We start from the raw sequence: 17,814 nt of genomic DNA, 5'->3' as shown, positions 1-17,814 counted from the left end.
AATCCAGGCCAACCTGGAACATGATCCTCAACTTCTCTAAGTTCACCTTTCCCAGGTGTGAAATGGGTTGTTCTGGGAACTGAGTGAGCTAATGATACACTCCCTGGCACACAGCGAGCCTCAAAACGCTTGTGTCCCCTCCCTACCTCACAGCCCATTTTAGAAGTTTGCTGTCACTTACTTTGGAGTCAGCAAAAACATATTCCTTCCGCAGGATCTTCTCCTTCTCTGTTTCCACCAAGATCACCAACTTATTCAGAAATTTCTGTGACTTAATGAGCTGCAGGACTTAAGAGAAAAGAAATTCATTAATTCATTCATCCACTCATTCAACCAATATGGACGGTCTCCATTATGTTCCAGGCACCTGACTATCAACTCCCGTCCCCAAGCTGAGCCCCGAGTTTGTGTCTGGTCTCCCAGCTCCCTCTGCTTCCAGCTGCTCTTCCCAAGAGAGGCTCATGCTTGGGGAGGGTGATGTCTGGAACAAGCAAGAGTTGGCCTGTCCAGAGCAGAGACAGCGTGATCGTCTTTTCATCTTTCTCCCTGCCTCCCTCCTTCCCCTCTCTCTTCTTCCTTCTCCTCTTCTTCCTCCTCTTCTCCCTCCCTCCTTTCTTCCTTACTCTTCCTCCTTTCCTTCTTTTGCTTTGTTTTTAATTTATATCTAAATTTAATTTTACATTTTACTGTCATCAACAATTAAAAGAGTCAAGTTGTTCTATAAGGTTTTTGCAAACAATAGTCCTCCACAACCCAACCTCTCTTCAATGTCCAGCTCCCTACAGGCAACCAATTTCAACTCTCTTAATGGATTCTTTTGGAATTCTACTCTGTTTCTTAAAAAAAAAAAATGCTTAGATTAATACTTTCCGATGTTTCAGTTTTCATTATGTCCTATTACATTTTTGACTGTCCACTATGGAAGATGAGGTTGAAATTTCTTTCACACACACAACCTGCTCCCCCAACTTGACTCCCTGCCAATGCATAATTTCAGTCCCCACATCATCCTTCTAACAATTATATCATAATTTTGGCCAGATAAGTACTCAGTGTTTGTTATTCTGATTATCAAAATGCTATTGACAGACCAGCCCTGAATGTTTCTCTTTTTCTAGACAACTTTGTGTTATTCCTGGAGTTAGTAATTGCCATACTTTTTTTTTTTATTGTTTCTAATTCTTCCCCAGTTTATAACTCTCTTTTCCATGTGACCAACTACTTTCATCAGTTCCTTTGTCCTGAGGGAGCCTTTCCCAGAGCTTCTGGGTCTTCTCTGGACTGGTGACTTCAAGGGCCGAGGCACAGCCTTTACCTTGGGGCCTTACTTCATAATCCAGGAATACGTTTCTCTCTCTCGTATTAAATCCCATTTCTTGGACCCCAGGTCTTCCTCTTCTTGGTTTACACCCTCATTTTGGTAGAGCAGCATCTCTAGTGGCTTTCCAAGAAAGGAAGAATCGGTGATACATTTTTAGAGGCCTTGCGTGTCTGAGAATTCGACCCTCACACTTAACTGACAGAACTCTAAATTTGAAATAATTCTCCTCCGGACTCTGGAACCTTGTTCCATCATCTCTAGTTTTCAGGATTGCTGGAGAAACAATGTCATTCTGATTCTCTTGTTCAGAAAAGAGTTAGCACAACAGACCCGAGACTGCTGTCCTTAGAAGGGCTTGCTTGAAAGGCTGGCTTTCTGCTGTCATCTGGGAACTTAGATTTCGGGAGGGCTCCCACCACTCCCAGAGCTGATGAGTGGCTTGCTGTGCCTACATTGTTTGTACAAACAATATGGTTTATGCTGAGCACCTGTTTTCCTTTTGGGAGTCTGTAATCTGGGTACCTGCCAGGTAGAGGGTGTCTATGTGACCATTCGCCAGTTAACAACCACATTTCACACATGTTGTCACACCTCACTGGGGGAGGAGGGAAGTGTGTCCTTTGTGACTCCACAGAAGAGTGGAGCCACTCCTAATGGTGGCTCGCTGTACTTAGAAGGAAGCGTGGGCCAGGCGCGGTGGCTCATGCCTGTAATCCTAGCACTTTGGGAGGCTGAGGCAGGCAGATTGCCTGAGCTCAGGAGTTTGAGACCAGCCTGGGCAACATGGTGAAACCCTGTCTCTACTAAAATACAAAACAAAAAATTAGCCAGGCGTGGTGGCGGGCACCTGTAGTCCCAGCCACTCAGGAGGCTGAGGCAGGAGAATTGCTTGAACCTGGGAGGCGGAGGTTGCAGTGAGCCAAGATCGTGTCACTGCACTCCAGCCTGGCGACAGAGTGAGACTCCATCTCAAATAAAAAAAGAAGGAAGTGTGAACCTGGCACTCTGGCTCAGCAGACCCACACACCTGGCCCCTGCCCAGTCTTGGCCTTGTCTGAGCCACAGCCATCTGGCCATCTCACCAGCCACACTGGCTCCTGTCTTGGAACTATGCCCAGTGGCCCCTTTCCCTGGTTTGGGCACAGCCAGCATCTTCCTGACACTCAGGTCTCAGGCTCAGACTCTTAGAAGCTCGTGCCTGGTTTCTTCCAGACTTCATCCTATGCATGTGTCTTTTCCCTCAGCTGATTTTGCTCTATATCCTTTCAATGTAATAAATCACAGCTGGGAATATGATCATCCACTGGGTCTTGTGGGTTCTCTGAGGGAATCACAGAACCTGGGGGTGGTCTTGTGGGGCCCCTGACACAGGGCGTAATCTATCTTTTGCTCTGAACATTTTTAGGATCTTTTCTTGGAGTCCAGCATTGTGAGACTTTCCAGGGTTGTGTGGGCCTCCTGTGTTGTGTGAGCACTTGGCCATTTTCAACATGGAGGCAAGTGTTATTCTGTTCTGAGACTCTTTCCTGAATTCTTTAATAAATTTTCTCAATCTGTTTTCTCTTACTGACACTTATTATTTTGATATTGGGCCTCCTGAACTCGTCTTATTTATTTATTATTTATTTATTTATTTATTTATTTATTTATTTATTTTTTGAGATGGAGTCTCGCTCCATCACCCAGGCTGGAGTGCAGTCGTGGATCTTGGCTCACCGCAACCTCTGCCTCCTGGGTTCAAGCAATTCTCCTGCCTCAGCCTCCCGAGTAGCTGGGATCACAGGCGTGCACCACCATGCCCATCTAATTTTGTATTTTTAGTAGAGGTGGGGTTTTACCATGTTGGCCAGGCTGGTCTTGAACTCCTGACCTCAAGTGTTCCACCTGCCTTGGCCTCCCAAAGCGCTGGGATTACAGGCGTGAGCCACTGCACCCAGCCCTGATCTGGTCTTTTAAATTGTAAAAATCTTGCCTCTCCTATTTTCCATCACTTTGTCCTTTTGTTTTGCCTTTTCGGAGCTTTTCTAAACTGTATCTTTCCACTCTTCCATTGGGTTCTTATTTTTTTTAATTACTGCTATAATATTTTTTATTGCCCCAGAGTTGTCCTTCCTTTCCCTTTCCCCTTCTTCCCCCTTCTCTCTTTCTCCTCATCCTTTTTCACTTTCATTTTATTCTCTTACTGTTCCTTTCTAGATATAATTCTGTTATTCCACAGGCCCATTTCTTTTTATCTGTAGAATCTGATCTCTCCAAGGCTGGGTGCAGTGGCTCACGCCTGTAATCCCGGTGTGGCAGGCCAGGTCTCACTAATTCAGGCCTCCGTGACAACGGTTTCAGTACTGACTGAGTGGTTAAGTTAAATATCAAAAGCCAGTGCCCTTATACAAAGGCTGGAATGTAACAAAAGCCCATCAGAAGTTTTGCCTAGGCGAAGGAATTCTTAACAGGACCAGTTTAGGATTTAACAAGTTTATTGGAGGTCTGAAGGAACTCCCCAAACCTCCGTGATTTAGCAGAAGACAAGATAAGGGTAATCACACCAGCACCTGGACCCATTTAGATGAAGTAAATTTACTGAGGCTCCAAAGGAAGGTCTTCAGGACTCAGACCTTAGTTATAAATTAAAAGAAGTTAATCACTTATATCTTTCAATGAATACACACACGTAGACATACAGATTAGAAGGTATATAAGCTCTGGAAAACTTTGTAATTTTGAGTTGGTCTGGTGATAATTTCCAGGCCTTCTTCCTGTAACCAGTTACAGAAAATAAAACCTGTCTTCCTCCCCAGTTCATGTGCATCTTGTTATTGGGCCACAAGAAATAGCAGCCTGACCCTCAGTTTGGTCCAGGAACACCAGCACTTTGGGAGGCCAAGGCAGGCAGATCATCTGAGCTCAGGAGTTTGAGACCAGCCTGGCCAGCATGGTGAAACCTCATTTCTACTAAAAATACAAAAATTAGCCGGGCATGGTGGTGCATGCCTATAGTCCCAGCTACCTGGGAGGCTGAGGCACGAGAATCGCCTGAACCCAGGAGGTGGAGGTTGCTGCGAGCTGAGATCGCGCCATTGCACTCCAGCCTGGGCCACAAGAGTGAAACTCTGTCTCAAAAAAAACAAAAAGAATTTGATCCCTCCAAGTGTTTTGTCTTTGTGTCCCCTGTTTCCTGTCCCCAGCTTCCCTCCAGTGTCTGGTGATCCTTGGCTGTCTGTGTCCAACAGTGAGGTGGGGTCTGTCGAGCAGGGCTTCTCCGCAGGGTGGTCTGATGGGCTGAATCCTGGGGAAACTGCGTGATGGCAACACCTTTCCATCTTTGCCCCTGGGCTGATCAAGTTTCCCAGAGAAGACTTCTAACTCCTGCCTAGGGAGGGTGGGGCTGGCCAGCAGCATCCTGGGAGCTGGGCAGGGAAGAAGGCTGGGGTCTCAGCACTCAGCAAGTGACTGTCCCTTAGTCCTCTGTTTTCAGTAGGCTCTCCTGCCTGCAGCAGGCCTGGCATCTCCCAGCCCTTCACCTTCTCCAAAGAATATCCAATCTTCTGCCAAAGGAGTGAGGAGGAGCCACTGGCTACATGGAGTGGAGTGTGATCTGTTGGGCTGAACTGTCTTTAAATAGACTTCCATCTGACCCTGCTGTGTATAACCCCACCTTCACCCCACTTCTTGGGGTCCCCAAGGCTCTCAGTTCCTGAGCCCTTTGTGGGTTTTGTGTGAGTCAGTGTCTCTGTTTTTTCTTCCACCTGCTTAGGGTTTCGTTTTTTGGTTCCTACAAGTGACTCTCGCTATCCATCTCCTTTCCGGCTTTCAGAATATTGTTGCTCTCCCATTCTCTCTTTCCCTGTGGGTTTTGCCTTCCGGAAGGGAACTGATGGCAGAGCATGCATTTAACCATCACTTTGAGCTGGAAGCCTCCCCAAAGGGAAATGACATCAGCCTCGTCTGCACCTCAGTAAGCATCCCACAGTCCGATTTCTACCACTGCTAACCAAATGCTGAGACTTTTCCAGTCTGCTACGATCAGGCCATGTCTCCTTCCCCTGAATTTCCTTGCCATCTGTTCGCAGGACTGTGCGGTTGCCCCCAGGATGTGATATCTTGTTTGATCAGGGTTATTATTCCATCAGAGTCAGTCAGCGCCCCACCTTCCCCACGCCCAGTGAAATAACACTAGAAGTTCCGTTTCCCTCGTCCTGTTACATGGTATCGATCAGCAGGTGCTGGCTGGTCTACCTTTGAAACGTTCCCACCCCGTTCACCTTTTCCCATCTCCAGCTGCCACCGCCTCTTGCCTGACTGCTATCATGGCCTCCTAATTGGTGTCCCTGTCTCCACTCTTCCTCTCTTCCCATAGTTTATTCTCAGTACAGCAGCCAGAGTTATCTTTTTGAAGTGGAATCACACCACACCCCCCCCAGCTGAAAACCTCCTAATAGTGGCTTGCTGCATTTGGAAGGAAACGTGAGCTGGTACTCTGGCTCAGCAAGCCCACATGCCTGGCCCCTGTCCAGCCTCAGCCTTGTCTGAGTCCTGGCCGCCCAGCCGTCTCACACGCCATACTTGTTCCTGCCTTGGGACTGAGCCCAGTTGCCTCTTTCCCTGGGTTGGGCACAGCCAGCATCTTCCTGACACTCAGGTCTCGGTTCAAATGGCACAGCATGTCCACAGAAAGGCTTTTCCCCATTACTGTCATATTTTTCTATTTAAATCCCCAGGTCTAGAGTTTATCATTCCCTGACACATTCCTGGTTTGTATATTTGTGTGTTTGTTTATTTTCTCCTTTGCCCTGATTTGAATGAAACTTTCCTGAAAGCTAGGATCCCGGCTGGCTGGTTCACCTTCGCATCCCAAAGCCTGGTACCTGCATAGCAGGTGCTCGGAGCATGAATATTTTATGATTTGAACATACAGCAACTGGCTGTTCCTATGTGTAGAAGACCATGATGCCAAAGCTATTCATGAACATGGTGATTAAAATAGGGTAAGGAAGCTCCAACTCTTGCAACCACAGATTCCCTCCAGGCGAGCACCGCTCTGTCATAATAACCATGGATGGAAACTCACCATGAGCCAGACTCCGCACTAAGGACACACCTTACCCCATTAACTCTCACAACAACCCCTGTAGGAACCCCTGTCTTGTGGAGGCATCATTGAGGCTTTGAGGAGTTAAGTAGCTTACTTGAGATCATACTATTAGCAAGTCATGGAACCAACACATGCATCCGGTTTACCTAGAGCACCCACTCTTGAACCACACTGCCTCTCAGCACCAACTGTAAAGAAGCCACTTAAACATGCATCCATGAGAACTGTATGATCTTACCTGGTTTAGGACACATTTGCTCACTCATGCATAGATTCATTCATTCTTGCCTTCATTCTCTCATTCATGTGTGCATTCATTCATTATTACATTCATTCTTATTCCTGTGTGCGTTCCTTCATTCTTGCATTCATTCACTGATTCATGCATGCGTTCTCTCAATATGCATTTACTGATCACTTACTCTGTGCTAAGCACTGTTTTGGCTCTGGGATTTAGTGGTTAACAACAACGAAAAAATCCACATCCCAGCCTTTGTGAAGCCCACATTAAAGAGGGGAGACAGAACTGGGATTTATGATGGATGACATTGCAAGTGCCTCAGGCAATTGGCAATCCCTGAGCACGCACTTGCTGAGCCCCAGGGCCCGAGCTGGGGCCTGCAGAGTCCAGGGTGTGTAAAGGAAAGACCTTGCCCTTTTTAGGGGGAGGGAATTTGTGAGGAGTCAATTGTGCTCTGATGTGACAGGTGTCACCACAGAGAGGAAGTCAGGCTCCACCATCCTGGATTGACGGGAGGACTGGAGCTAGGTGGGCACATTCCCGGAGAGTGGGCTGGCAGTCTGTGGGCACCCATGCTCTTCAGGGCTCACAAACCTGCTCTGAAATAGCCTATTATTGTTATTATTATTATTATTAATTTTTAGAGATGGAGTCTTGCTGTGTTGCTCAGGGTGAACTCAAACTCCTGGCTCCAAGTGATCCTCCCACTTCAGCCTCCCAAGTAGCTAAGAATACAGGTGCGTACCACTGCACCCATGCATAGCCCATTCTTAACTAGAGCTGGATTTTCTTAGGGCCAGTGATCTCTAGTTTAGCTCTTTCACCCATCCCTGATCTGTTTCCACAAAGGAGAATACCAACTTCTCAGCAACAACAGCTCCAATCCTTACTTGGGCATTCTAGGCTCTGTTCACACCTAGGATGGCGTGCCCAGCGGCTTCTCTCTCCAGAACCACAGTGAGAGATGAGCAACATGTAATGTGTGATTTCACTAACCCCCTGTCCCGTTCCCTGCACACCCCATTCTCTCAGTACCAGTGCCCTCCCCTGCCTCATGCTTGGCAAAATCCTATTCATCCTTCAAATCCCGGTCAGAGCCACCTCGGTGGTGTGAAGTCTCCTGCCCTCACTCCCCAAAAGAGCTAACCAGTCCTCCCTCGGGACTAACCTCCCTCTGGAGCACATTCTAATACCTGCCCATGTGCCAGCGTTCCCTTCTCCACAGCAAATCCTTAGAGGAAGCGTTCACGATGAAGGGCTGGCCCATAGAAGATGCTACGCAAATATCTGTTGCATTAAACCGACAAAAGTTCACAGCACTTCTGAGAACCCTGGGAGGTGTTTCTTTCAATCTTAAGTTTTTTAGTAATCAGGTGCTCTGACAGTCTTCACTCATCTTAACGTTTCCATCTCCTCTTATCCAAGTTGGGGCCACCCCTCTCTCCTTAACAGATGTATTAGTCTGTTCTCACGCTGCTAATAAAGACATACCCAAGACTGGGTAATTTATAAAGGAAAGAGTTTTAATGGACTCACAGTTCCACATGGCTGGGGAGGCCTCACAATCATAGCAGAAGCAAAGGAGGAGCAAAGTCACGTCTTACATGGTGGCAGGCAAGAGAGCTTGTGCAGGGGAACTACCCTTTATAAAACCATCAGATCTCATGAGATTTATTCACTACCATGAGAACAGCATGGGAAAAACTCATCCCAGTGATTTAATTACCTCCCCACCCGGTCCTTCCCATGACAAGTGGGGATTATGGGAGCTACAGTTCAAGATGAGATTTGGGTGGGGACACAGCCAAATCATATCAACAGATAAGAGGAAACCATCACTCTAAGCTCACTTTCCACACAGCCTTTCTGTTCAAATCATCAGTGACTCCCCATTTCTCCTGCCCAACTTGCCACTATACACAGGGGCCACCATGATGCTATGAGCTCCCCTCTGCAGGACTATGACAGCTATGATGTCACCCCCAGCCATTCCCTGAGATCAGCCTCCCTCACGGCTACCCTGGAAGGGTAATAATAATGGTGGTGGTGGTGGTGACAGTCAATGATATTGAGCACTCCCTGGAGGTTGGGCACCAGTTGCTTTGATGTTCACCCACATAAGACTCATGAGAGCCCTGCAAGATGCTGCTACTATCCCTGCTGGACAGAAGAGTAAACTGAGGACCAGAGAAAAGGCACCAGACCCAAGTCACAAGTGGCTGACCTGGGACTCAAGACTGGGCTACTTGCACCCCACTGTGCTATCAGTGGGGTTCAGGATGCACTATTGCAAAATATGGCATCCTAAGCATGTTGAATATTTTCAGCTGAAGGAATTTGAGCAATGGCAGGTGCAGGAAGGACCCTCTGACATTCCTCTAAAGCAGGTTATAGAGCCTCATATGAGAGGAGCCCTCCCTATACCTGGGGGACAGAGCATCCTGTCTCCAAGGACACAGGGACAGAGAGGACTCTGAATGCACAGGCCCTGCCAAGGTCCTCCCAGTTCCCCATACTTAGTGCATACGACTTTATTAAGAACAAAAGATGGCTGAGCACAGTGGTTCATGCCTGTAATCCCAGCACTTTAGGAAGCCAAGGCGGGTGGATCACTTGTGGTCAGGAGTTCGAGACCACACTGACCAACATGGTGAAACCCTGTCTTTACTAAAAATAAAAAAATAGCTGGGCGTGGTGGTGGTCCTGTAGTCCCAGCTACTCGGGAAGCTGAGGCAGAAGAATCACTTGAACCCAGGAGGCGGAGGTTGCAGTGAGCCAAGATCGTGGCACTGCACTCCAGTCTGGGTGATAGAGCGAGACTTTGTCTCAAAAAAAAAAAAAAAAAAAAAGGTGCTGATCATGCCTGAAGAAGCCAGATAAAATACAGGAGACCCAGTTAAATTTGAACTTCAGAAAAACTGTGAATCATTGTTGCATATAAGTATGTCCCAAATATTGCATGGGACATACATATAGTATATCGGTTGTTTATCTGAAATTCAAATTTTACTGGGCCTCCTGTATTTTTATCTGCTAATTGTGGCAACCTTAACCATGCCCTCTAAATGAACTTTGAGACACTAAAGAATAAAAAAAAGTGTTGTAGCCACAGAGACTTGGGGGGCTTCATAGTGGTCTTAAAACCTGACATGGGATGCAAACTGTTGTGTGAAGGTTGGGATTTATCTGAGGCAAGGGTCTACGCATTGATCAGGTTTCTCGGGGGAACCCATTGGCCACCCAGATGAAGAAAGATGTCCATTCGCCATCAGCCAGAACGAGAGGCTGCTCAGGAAACTCTCATGCTTTCGTCAGCCCTCTGGTCCTGTCTGCTGCTGTTCTCCAGCCCCATGTGGCCCCGCACTGGGCATTGCCTACCCCCCTGCCTCCTGACACCCTGCCTGGCCTCCCTAACCTGGGCCCCAGTGCCCATCTCCCAGCGTTTGCACATGCTGCTCTGCTAGCTGGGATGCTCTTCCCTCAGACCCCTGCCCGACTGGTTGCTTCTCAGCCTCGGGGTCTCCGCCAATGTGCCTCTTACTCAGAGGAAACTTCCATGTCTGCCCTTTCTACACTATCCCCTCTTGCCAGTTAACCTCTACCCCTTTGCCCTGTTTTGTTTTCTTTGTAGCGCTTTTCATAGCTGGATCATCCATCTGATCATTCATCTGTATTGACAGATGTATTTGAGTCTCTATCGGCTACTCAATGCACCAGAATATAAATTCCATGTGGGCAGGGGCCTCATCTGCCCTGCTGGCCCTGGATCCCCTTGTCTTGCCCCACTGCAGCTTCTCTATATGCATTTGTTGTGTGAAGAGCTTCCATTTTATGGATGAGTTGATTTGATGGTTCTCAGAATCTACTAATAACAGCTGACTCTCAAAGTGGCCACTACATGCTGGGCTCTAGCCTAAAGAGCCTTGAGCATATTATTCACATAATTTTTATCATCCCCATTTTACAGATGAGGAAACTGAGGGCTAGAGAGGTCATGACATGTCCCAGGTCACACAGCTGCTAAGTGGCAGAGCTGGGACGTGAATTTAGGCAGTTTGGTTCCAGAGTCCATGTACTCACAGTTTAGTTTATCCTGTGCTACAGACACTACCCAATTGTCAACAAGACCTCATCTGTGCAAGGCTTTGTGCCCGGCACTGAGAGGTGATAGCATGGATCACACTGGGTCTTGGTGGGGAAGAGAAGAGACACACACACACACAAAAGCATGAGCGCAGGCGCGCATGCGTGCGGAAGACAGACCTGCAGGGCAGGCCTTCTGAGAGGTGAGCTGAGAGGGCAGGAATTCCACAGGCAGGTGAGGGGCAGTGGTTGATAGGCACGAGGGGTCTTACTTTTCTTGTGGCTGTAGAACTTGTCCTCAGAACCATCCTTGGACTTCTTAATGATCAGTTTCCCAGACTCAACGTCGACTTTGAGCTGCATTTTCTGAGGAATCCCCAGAGACTCTGCCTTCACCTTAGAAGAGAAGAGATGTGTCACTGATTGATTTTCTGCCTGGGCTTTTGCAAGGCTTCCCCCGCCCGAACCCCTTGTCTACATGGCTGGGCAACCTCTGGTGTGCGTCCTTCGTGGGGCCACTGGGCTTCTCTTGCCCCAGCGGCGCACGTGCATGTTTCCACAGGCGTCTCCCGGGAATCACAGAGACTCTAGGGGCATCCCCCTCGTCCACTGTGTGTGGGGGAGCCGTTCTGCCAACAGGTTTGCTGGCGGAAACAGACGAATTGCTGGAAATGGTTCATTCACTGATGACTTTGACAACACTCATTAATCTGATGTGTCACCTACTTCCAGAAAGGATTTTAGTAACAGATTTAAACTCCCAGGCCTTGTTACAACCACTGATTGAACATTTACTGATAATAATAGAAAAGAAAACCCACAACAGTTGCGTAGGCATGCTCAGAAAATGGAAATTTATCTTAATAGAGGATAATCACCAGGTCTAGAACGGACTTTGGGGTGGGGAATGTGTGTGTGGCGGAGGGGGTGCGGGTCTCACACTGGATTCCTGAATTTGGGACCAGTGCTGGGGTGAATATACTAGAATCTCTGGGGATTGTAAAGAAGAACGCATTTTGGGTCAAGCCTGGAGATTCTAATCCAGTCATTCTCATGGAAATCACAGGAATCGCACGATTTTTTTTCTGAATTCCCCACCCCCTTGAGGCAGTACTTTGCAGCCCCGTCTGATGTCACTCATCTCTGCCATTTTGAGAAGGACAAAGTTTACATGGTGCCTGGCCCAATGAGACACTCCTCCCTTGTAGCTTCCCTCCGAAGGGGATTTCCCAGTTGTCTCTGGGTGCCCGTTCTGACGTTGAACCGCCATCACAGCGACAAAGGTCAACTGACTGCCATTCTTGGCTAATGCGCTCCCTGCTCTTCCCCAGCTAAAGCCCCAATCCCTCTTTCCACAGGAACAAGAACATGTCTCTCTGCCCAGCTGTGGAGCCCAAGCCCAGGCTCTGCTGTCCCATGGCCACTTACCTCAAAGGTGACTGGAGGGATAAGGGAGGGCCGGTGCGGAGACTCAGGACCCTCGTGCAGCAAGGCCTTGACCTGTGGGCAGCAGCGTTAGAGACAGAGGGTCAAGGGGACGCCGAGCCTGTGCATCTGGGCATTCTCCATGCAAAGAGGGGACCAAAGAGGAGACCAAGAGAAGCCGCAGGAGCCCCACACGTACCTTGTCTTCAATGGACGACAACAGGCTTGTCAGTTGGCTGAGCTTGGACACCATGTTGATGGGATTGGCCTCACCAGGAACCTGGGAGAGGAGGGAAAGAGGATCAGGGCAGCATCACTGAACCTGAACCATCGAGAGGCAATGCTCTGGGTTCTCTCTGCACCTCACCCCATTCCAGCCTCCCCGCAGCCCCACAAGTTCTATTATTATCCCCTTCTGGCAGATGAGGACACAGGGATCTCTACAATCTTCTCAGAATTCACATGGCCAAAAAATAGATCTTCATTTCTTCTTCCCTGTAAATCTGCCTCTCCCCCGGTGCTTCTCACCTCACCCACTCCGTTGCTTAAACAAAACTCGAGGACTGTCCTTGCATGTTACCTTTCCTCCCTCCTACACCTGCTGCATGGTGTTCCCGTCCTACTTCCAAAATAGACCCAGCCCTGCTGCTTGAAACCCCAGTACAGTTCTTCTCCACGTAGAGGAGAAAATGATCCCGACCCCTTCCCTGCCCTCCGAGGTCCTATATGATGCAGCCCCCCACCTCACCCGCCCCACCAAGATCTGAGCCACTCTCATCCTCAACTCATATCTGCCTTGAGCTTCCCTTCTGAGGAATCTCCAGAGACTCAATTTCCCCTGGGAGGGGCAACTCCTCATCATTCAGGTCTCAGCCCCACAAAGAGGTCTTCCCTGACCACCCTGTCTAAAATAGCCACCAGGTCACCTCTATCAAGTTGCCTTGTTCTGTTCCATTTCAATCACCACGAGCTAAAGTCATCTCCTTCCAATATGTGTTCATTGTTTGTCTTCCCTGCTGAATGGAGGCTCCGTGAGAATGGAGATCAAGAGGACTGTGTTCAGTACTGCAACACTGGGGCTCAGAACAGTGTCTGGCCAACGAAGATGCTCCGTTAAGTTGTTCAGTACATACAGGGCCCAGAGAGATGAACTAACTTGTCTGAGGTCGCACAGCTAGTAAATGGCAGAGGAAGACATGTATCCTGTCTACCTGATGCCAAGTACATGGTCTCATGCACTTATTCACAGAAGAAACATTTACAAAGCATCTATTCTATGTTAGACATGCTGCCAGGTGTGGAAATGTAGAGTTAATAAGATACCTTATTAAGTTATTAATACCTTATTAAGTTCAWAATAAGAAGTGGAATGAGAAAATCAGACACATGTATGGCTAATGTGAATACAAAGCAGAATGGAACCAGGGTTATCACCAGGCAGGTGATGTCCCTTTACCTCACCCCTTGCTCAATATAGCAGCCAGGCTGCACTTGCTTTTGACCTCAATTTTCCACCCAGCTACTTTAGTATACTACTTTTACTATCACCACCTCCATTACCACTGCTGCCTCTGCACAATGATCAATGGCACTGMCATGATCAATAGGATCCCCTTCAACAGCACCACCAGAGTCATCAGCATGGCCACCACAATCACCACCAACACCACCATCACTACCACCATCTCCACCCCTATCACTCCCACCATGATCATGCCCACCTCCACCATCACCATCACTACTACCACCTCCACCCTCACCATCACCATCACCACCACCATCTCTACCCCATCACTCCCACCATGATCATAACCACCTCCACCATCACCATCACCACTACCACCTTCACCCTCACCATCACCATCACTACCACCATCTCCACCCTCACCATCACCACCACCACCTCCACCCTCACCATCACCATCACCACCACCATCTCCACCCCTACCAGTCCTATCATGATCATGACCACCTCCACCATCACCATCACTACCACCACCTTCACCCTCACCATCACCATCACTACCACCATCTCCACCCCTATCACTCCCACCGTGATCATGACCACCTCCACCCTCACCATCACCACCACCATCTCCACCCCTCCCACTCTTACCATAATCATGACGACCTCCACTATCATCATCACTACCATAATCTCCACCCCTACCACTCCCACCATAATTATGACCACCTCCACCATCACCATCACCATCACTACCACCACCTCCACCCCTACCAGTTCTACCATGATCATGACCACCTCCAACATCACCATCACCATCTCTACCCCTACCAGACCCACCGTGATCATGACCACCTCCACCATCACCATCACTACCACTATCTCCACACCTATTATTTTCCATGATCATGACCACCTCCACCATCGCCATCACCACCACCATCTCCACCCCTACCACTCTCACCATAATCATGACCACCTCCACCATCACCATCACTACCACCATCTCCACCCTCACCATCACCATCACCACCACCATCTCCACCCTCACCATTCCTACCCTGACCATGACCACCTCCACCATCACTACCACCATCTCCTCCCCTATCACTCCCATATGATCATGACCACCTCTACCATCACCATCACCATCACCACCACCATCTCCACTCCTACCAGCCCTCCCATGATCATGACCACCTCTGTCATCACCATCACTACCACCCTTAGACACCACACCATTCCCCRTCCCAATAACCATCACTCCRCCATCWCAGCAGTTAATAATTGTCAGTGCTTTCTCTAACCACTTTTTGGTCTTTCCCTTGCTTCTTAATAAAGCTTACAATTCTTCTTTAGTTATTGTCAATCAGGAAAGTGGCTTGAAGAGGTGGTGCTAAGACTCAGGGAAGGGAACAACAGAATGGCTGCCTGTTGGTTGAGAAGAAAAGCTGGTCAGGAGATGGGATAGTTCAGGATTCCCTTGTTTTAGGGTTATTTATCTCATAAATAATTGAAACGGTAACACAGATTCAAGCCTCCTCCTTTTCACAGTAGAGAACATTTGGAATGACCTGCCTTCACCCCGGGCAGTCACCAATGCAATTGCAGGTCCCCCGCCCCCCACCGGCTCTCTCTTTGGATTTGTGACTTTTGGGAGGGGAGATATAACAAGATCTTAGAGAACATAAATGAAGTTACTGACAAACAGGGCGTTCGTGCTTGAAAGAAAAAGTATTAGAAAAATGCTGGAGCTTTCCCCATACTTCTGCCTAATGATGATTTGATGAGTTTGTATGCTATGCCAAGCACATCTGAAATATATTAAGTCATCTAATCCTCACATGTCTTGATTTTTCTAATCCTTGTTTTGCTGATGGGGGAATAGAGTCAGAGTGGTGAGTTTACAGCTAGTATAGACCTGAGATGTGAATTGGGGGCTAGCCCAGTGGTCCTCAGCTGGTGGCGATTTTGCCCTCCAGGGGACATTTGGCAATGTCTGAGACRTTTCCAGTTGTCACAGCTGGGGGATGCTAATGGCATCTCATGGGTAGAGGCCAGGATGTGGAGGACTCCTAGAGTGCACAGGAGTCCTCCACGACAGAGAACAATCCAGTCCCAAATGTCACCAGTGTCGAGGTTGAGGATAGAATTCACAGCTTAGCCTGTTAAAGGGTAGACTGGTCTGACTGCTACCTGAGGGTTTACATCAGCTGACCCAGTTTTTTCACTTTGCTTTTCAGTTGCACTTTTCAAAAAAAAAGGAAGTGGGCGCCAAGGCAGGTTAACCATCCAAGGGAGGTTACCGGCTCTCCTTTCTCACACAGGGTGGACCCAGGTCTCCCCCATCCCCCAGGCCAGCCAGCATTTTGATAACATTGCATTTCACACTTCCCAGCAGTCCTCAAGTAACCACACAGGGGTTTGGGTGTCCCCAGCTTGTCTTGCCTACTTAAGGGAAAGGGCCTCATGTTGGTGAGAGTCTAGCAGGGTCAGACGTCTCACGCACCCAGTTTCACTCACTCCTTAACCAAACCCTGCAGAGATATTACTGTCCCCATTTCACAGATGGGGAGACTAAAGATCCAGGAGGGTGAATCAGAATTTGAACTCAGGTGTTTCTGATCCATGGACCAACGTTCTTTCCTCTCCTCAAGGCAGCCTCAACTCCCTCTTGATTTCTGAATTCCTAAAGACAAATCAAGAACAACCTTTTCTGTTTTTCTTCAAGACTCAGGGTCTCATAAAGGGGAGGGGAGTGTGGCAGCATGACCCACCCTCCACTGGGTGGCTGCTCTGTCCTGCCACCAAATGCAGAGACTGGCCTCCACCAGGCAGCACCGTAACTGGGACTGCAGCTGGCCTCTCTCACGAGGCTTTTTCTCGCTTCTAATCTACTTCAAAGACTTGACTGTGTGTTCTTCCACTCAAACTACTTAAGTTCAAGTGTCGGGCAGAGCCCCTGTTTTATCTAGATTTGCTTTTACTTTCTTAGAAATTAACCCATCATTCACTTCAGAGAAAGCAAAAATTTTTTTTTCTGAATTTTGAAAGTTGCACAAGTAAAATACAAATTCGTGTTCTCCGTAGAAAACCTAAACTAACAATGTGGGCAAACTCAAAATCCCCCTTGGCCCAGTCCCCTTCTCCCCAGTCTCATCCCTGAATTGTGGTGACCAGCGTGGCCCTTTGGGTTTAAATCCTTCCCATCTGATTTCCTCGTGGAGACTTCCATCAGAGTTTCTATATCATCCTGCCATTTGCTTTTCCACCTAACAGTAGTCTTGGAGATCTTTCCAGAGCAGTGTTCACACCTTAGAATAGAATTCTGCACCACTGCAGTTCACCAGCTCTCCATGTTTATGTGATTTTCTTTTTTTCTTTTTCCTTTTTTTTTTCTGTTTTAGATGGAGATGGAGTCTCACTCTGTCACCCAGGCTGGAGTGCAGTGGCGCCATCTCGGCTCACTGCAACGTCCACCTCCCGGGTTCAAGCAATGCTCCTGCCTCAGCCTCCTGAGTAGCTGGGATTACAGGCGCCCGCCACCACACCTGGCTAATTTTTGTATTTTTGGTAGAGACAGCGTTTCACCATGTTGGTCAGGTTGGTCTCAAATTCCCGACCTCAGGTGATCCACCCGCTTCGGCCTCCCAAAGTACTGGGATTACAGGCGTGAACTACCACGCCTGGCCTGTTTATGTGATTTTCAATGTTTTTTTCTGTTACTCTTTGTGTACTTGTAGTCCCTAAGAAGCTGCCAACATATGGAACTGCGGGCTTGAGGGATGCCTGCAGTTCACATTTGCATACAAATGGCCAAACTGCCGTTCAGAAAACCCATTTCCATTCCCAACAGCAGAGGAGTGAGCCCCTGTGAGCACCTCCTCCACCCCACATCCTAGCCAAGTCCTGACTCAACCATCAACTTGAGCATCAACTCTTTGTCCATCTAATAGGCAAGAAGAGGCTGCCTAGTGTCAAATGTCATTTCCCAGTTACTAACAAGGTGAGGTTGAACGCCTTTTCATATCTATACTGGCTATTCCCTGTCCCTCTTCAGTGAACCGCCTTGTTTATAGCCTTTCCGCATTCTAAAAACTGGATTGTTTTTACTTAATTATTTGTAGGAATTTTTTTAAAAATGGCCAGGCATGGTGGCTCCCACCTGTAATCCCAGCACTTCAGAAGGC

At 48.2% G+C, this 17,814-nt stretch overlaps 1 protein-coding gene across 4 annotated transcripts in view; it reads right to left on the bottom strand.

Annotated features, from left to right (window-relative positions):
- Positions 1-17,814, bottom strand: part of INPP5D (inositol polyphosphate-5-phosphatase D) — a 147,562-nt gene that overhangs the window by 49,303 nt on the left and 80,445 nt on the right. For all 4 annotated transcript variants that reach the window (NM_001017915.3, XM_047444219.1, NM_005541.5 and 1 more), the window contains exons 7-10: positions 12,359-12,439; positions 12,163-12,234; positions 11,007-11,130; positions 182-288 (exon numbers count right to left, since the gene is read on the bottom strand). In NM_001017915.3, coding sequence (NP_001017915.1) covers positions 182-288; positions 11,007-11,130; positions 12,163-12,234; positions 12,359-12,439 — 384 coding nt within the window. The remainder of the gene's footprint in view (positions 1-181; positions 289-11,006; positions 11,131-12,162; positions 12,235-12,358; positions 12,440-17,814) is intronic.

Source organism: Homo sapiens, chromosome 2 (genome assembly GCF_000001405.40).
Source record: "Homo sapiens chromosome 2, GRCh38.p14 Primary Assembly".
NCBI lineage: Eukaryota > Metazoa > Chordata > Mammalia > Primates > Hominidae > Homo > Homo sapiens.
This window is presented reverse-complemented; position numbering and strand designations above follow the sequence as displayed.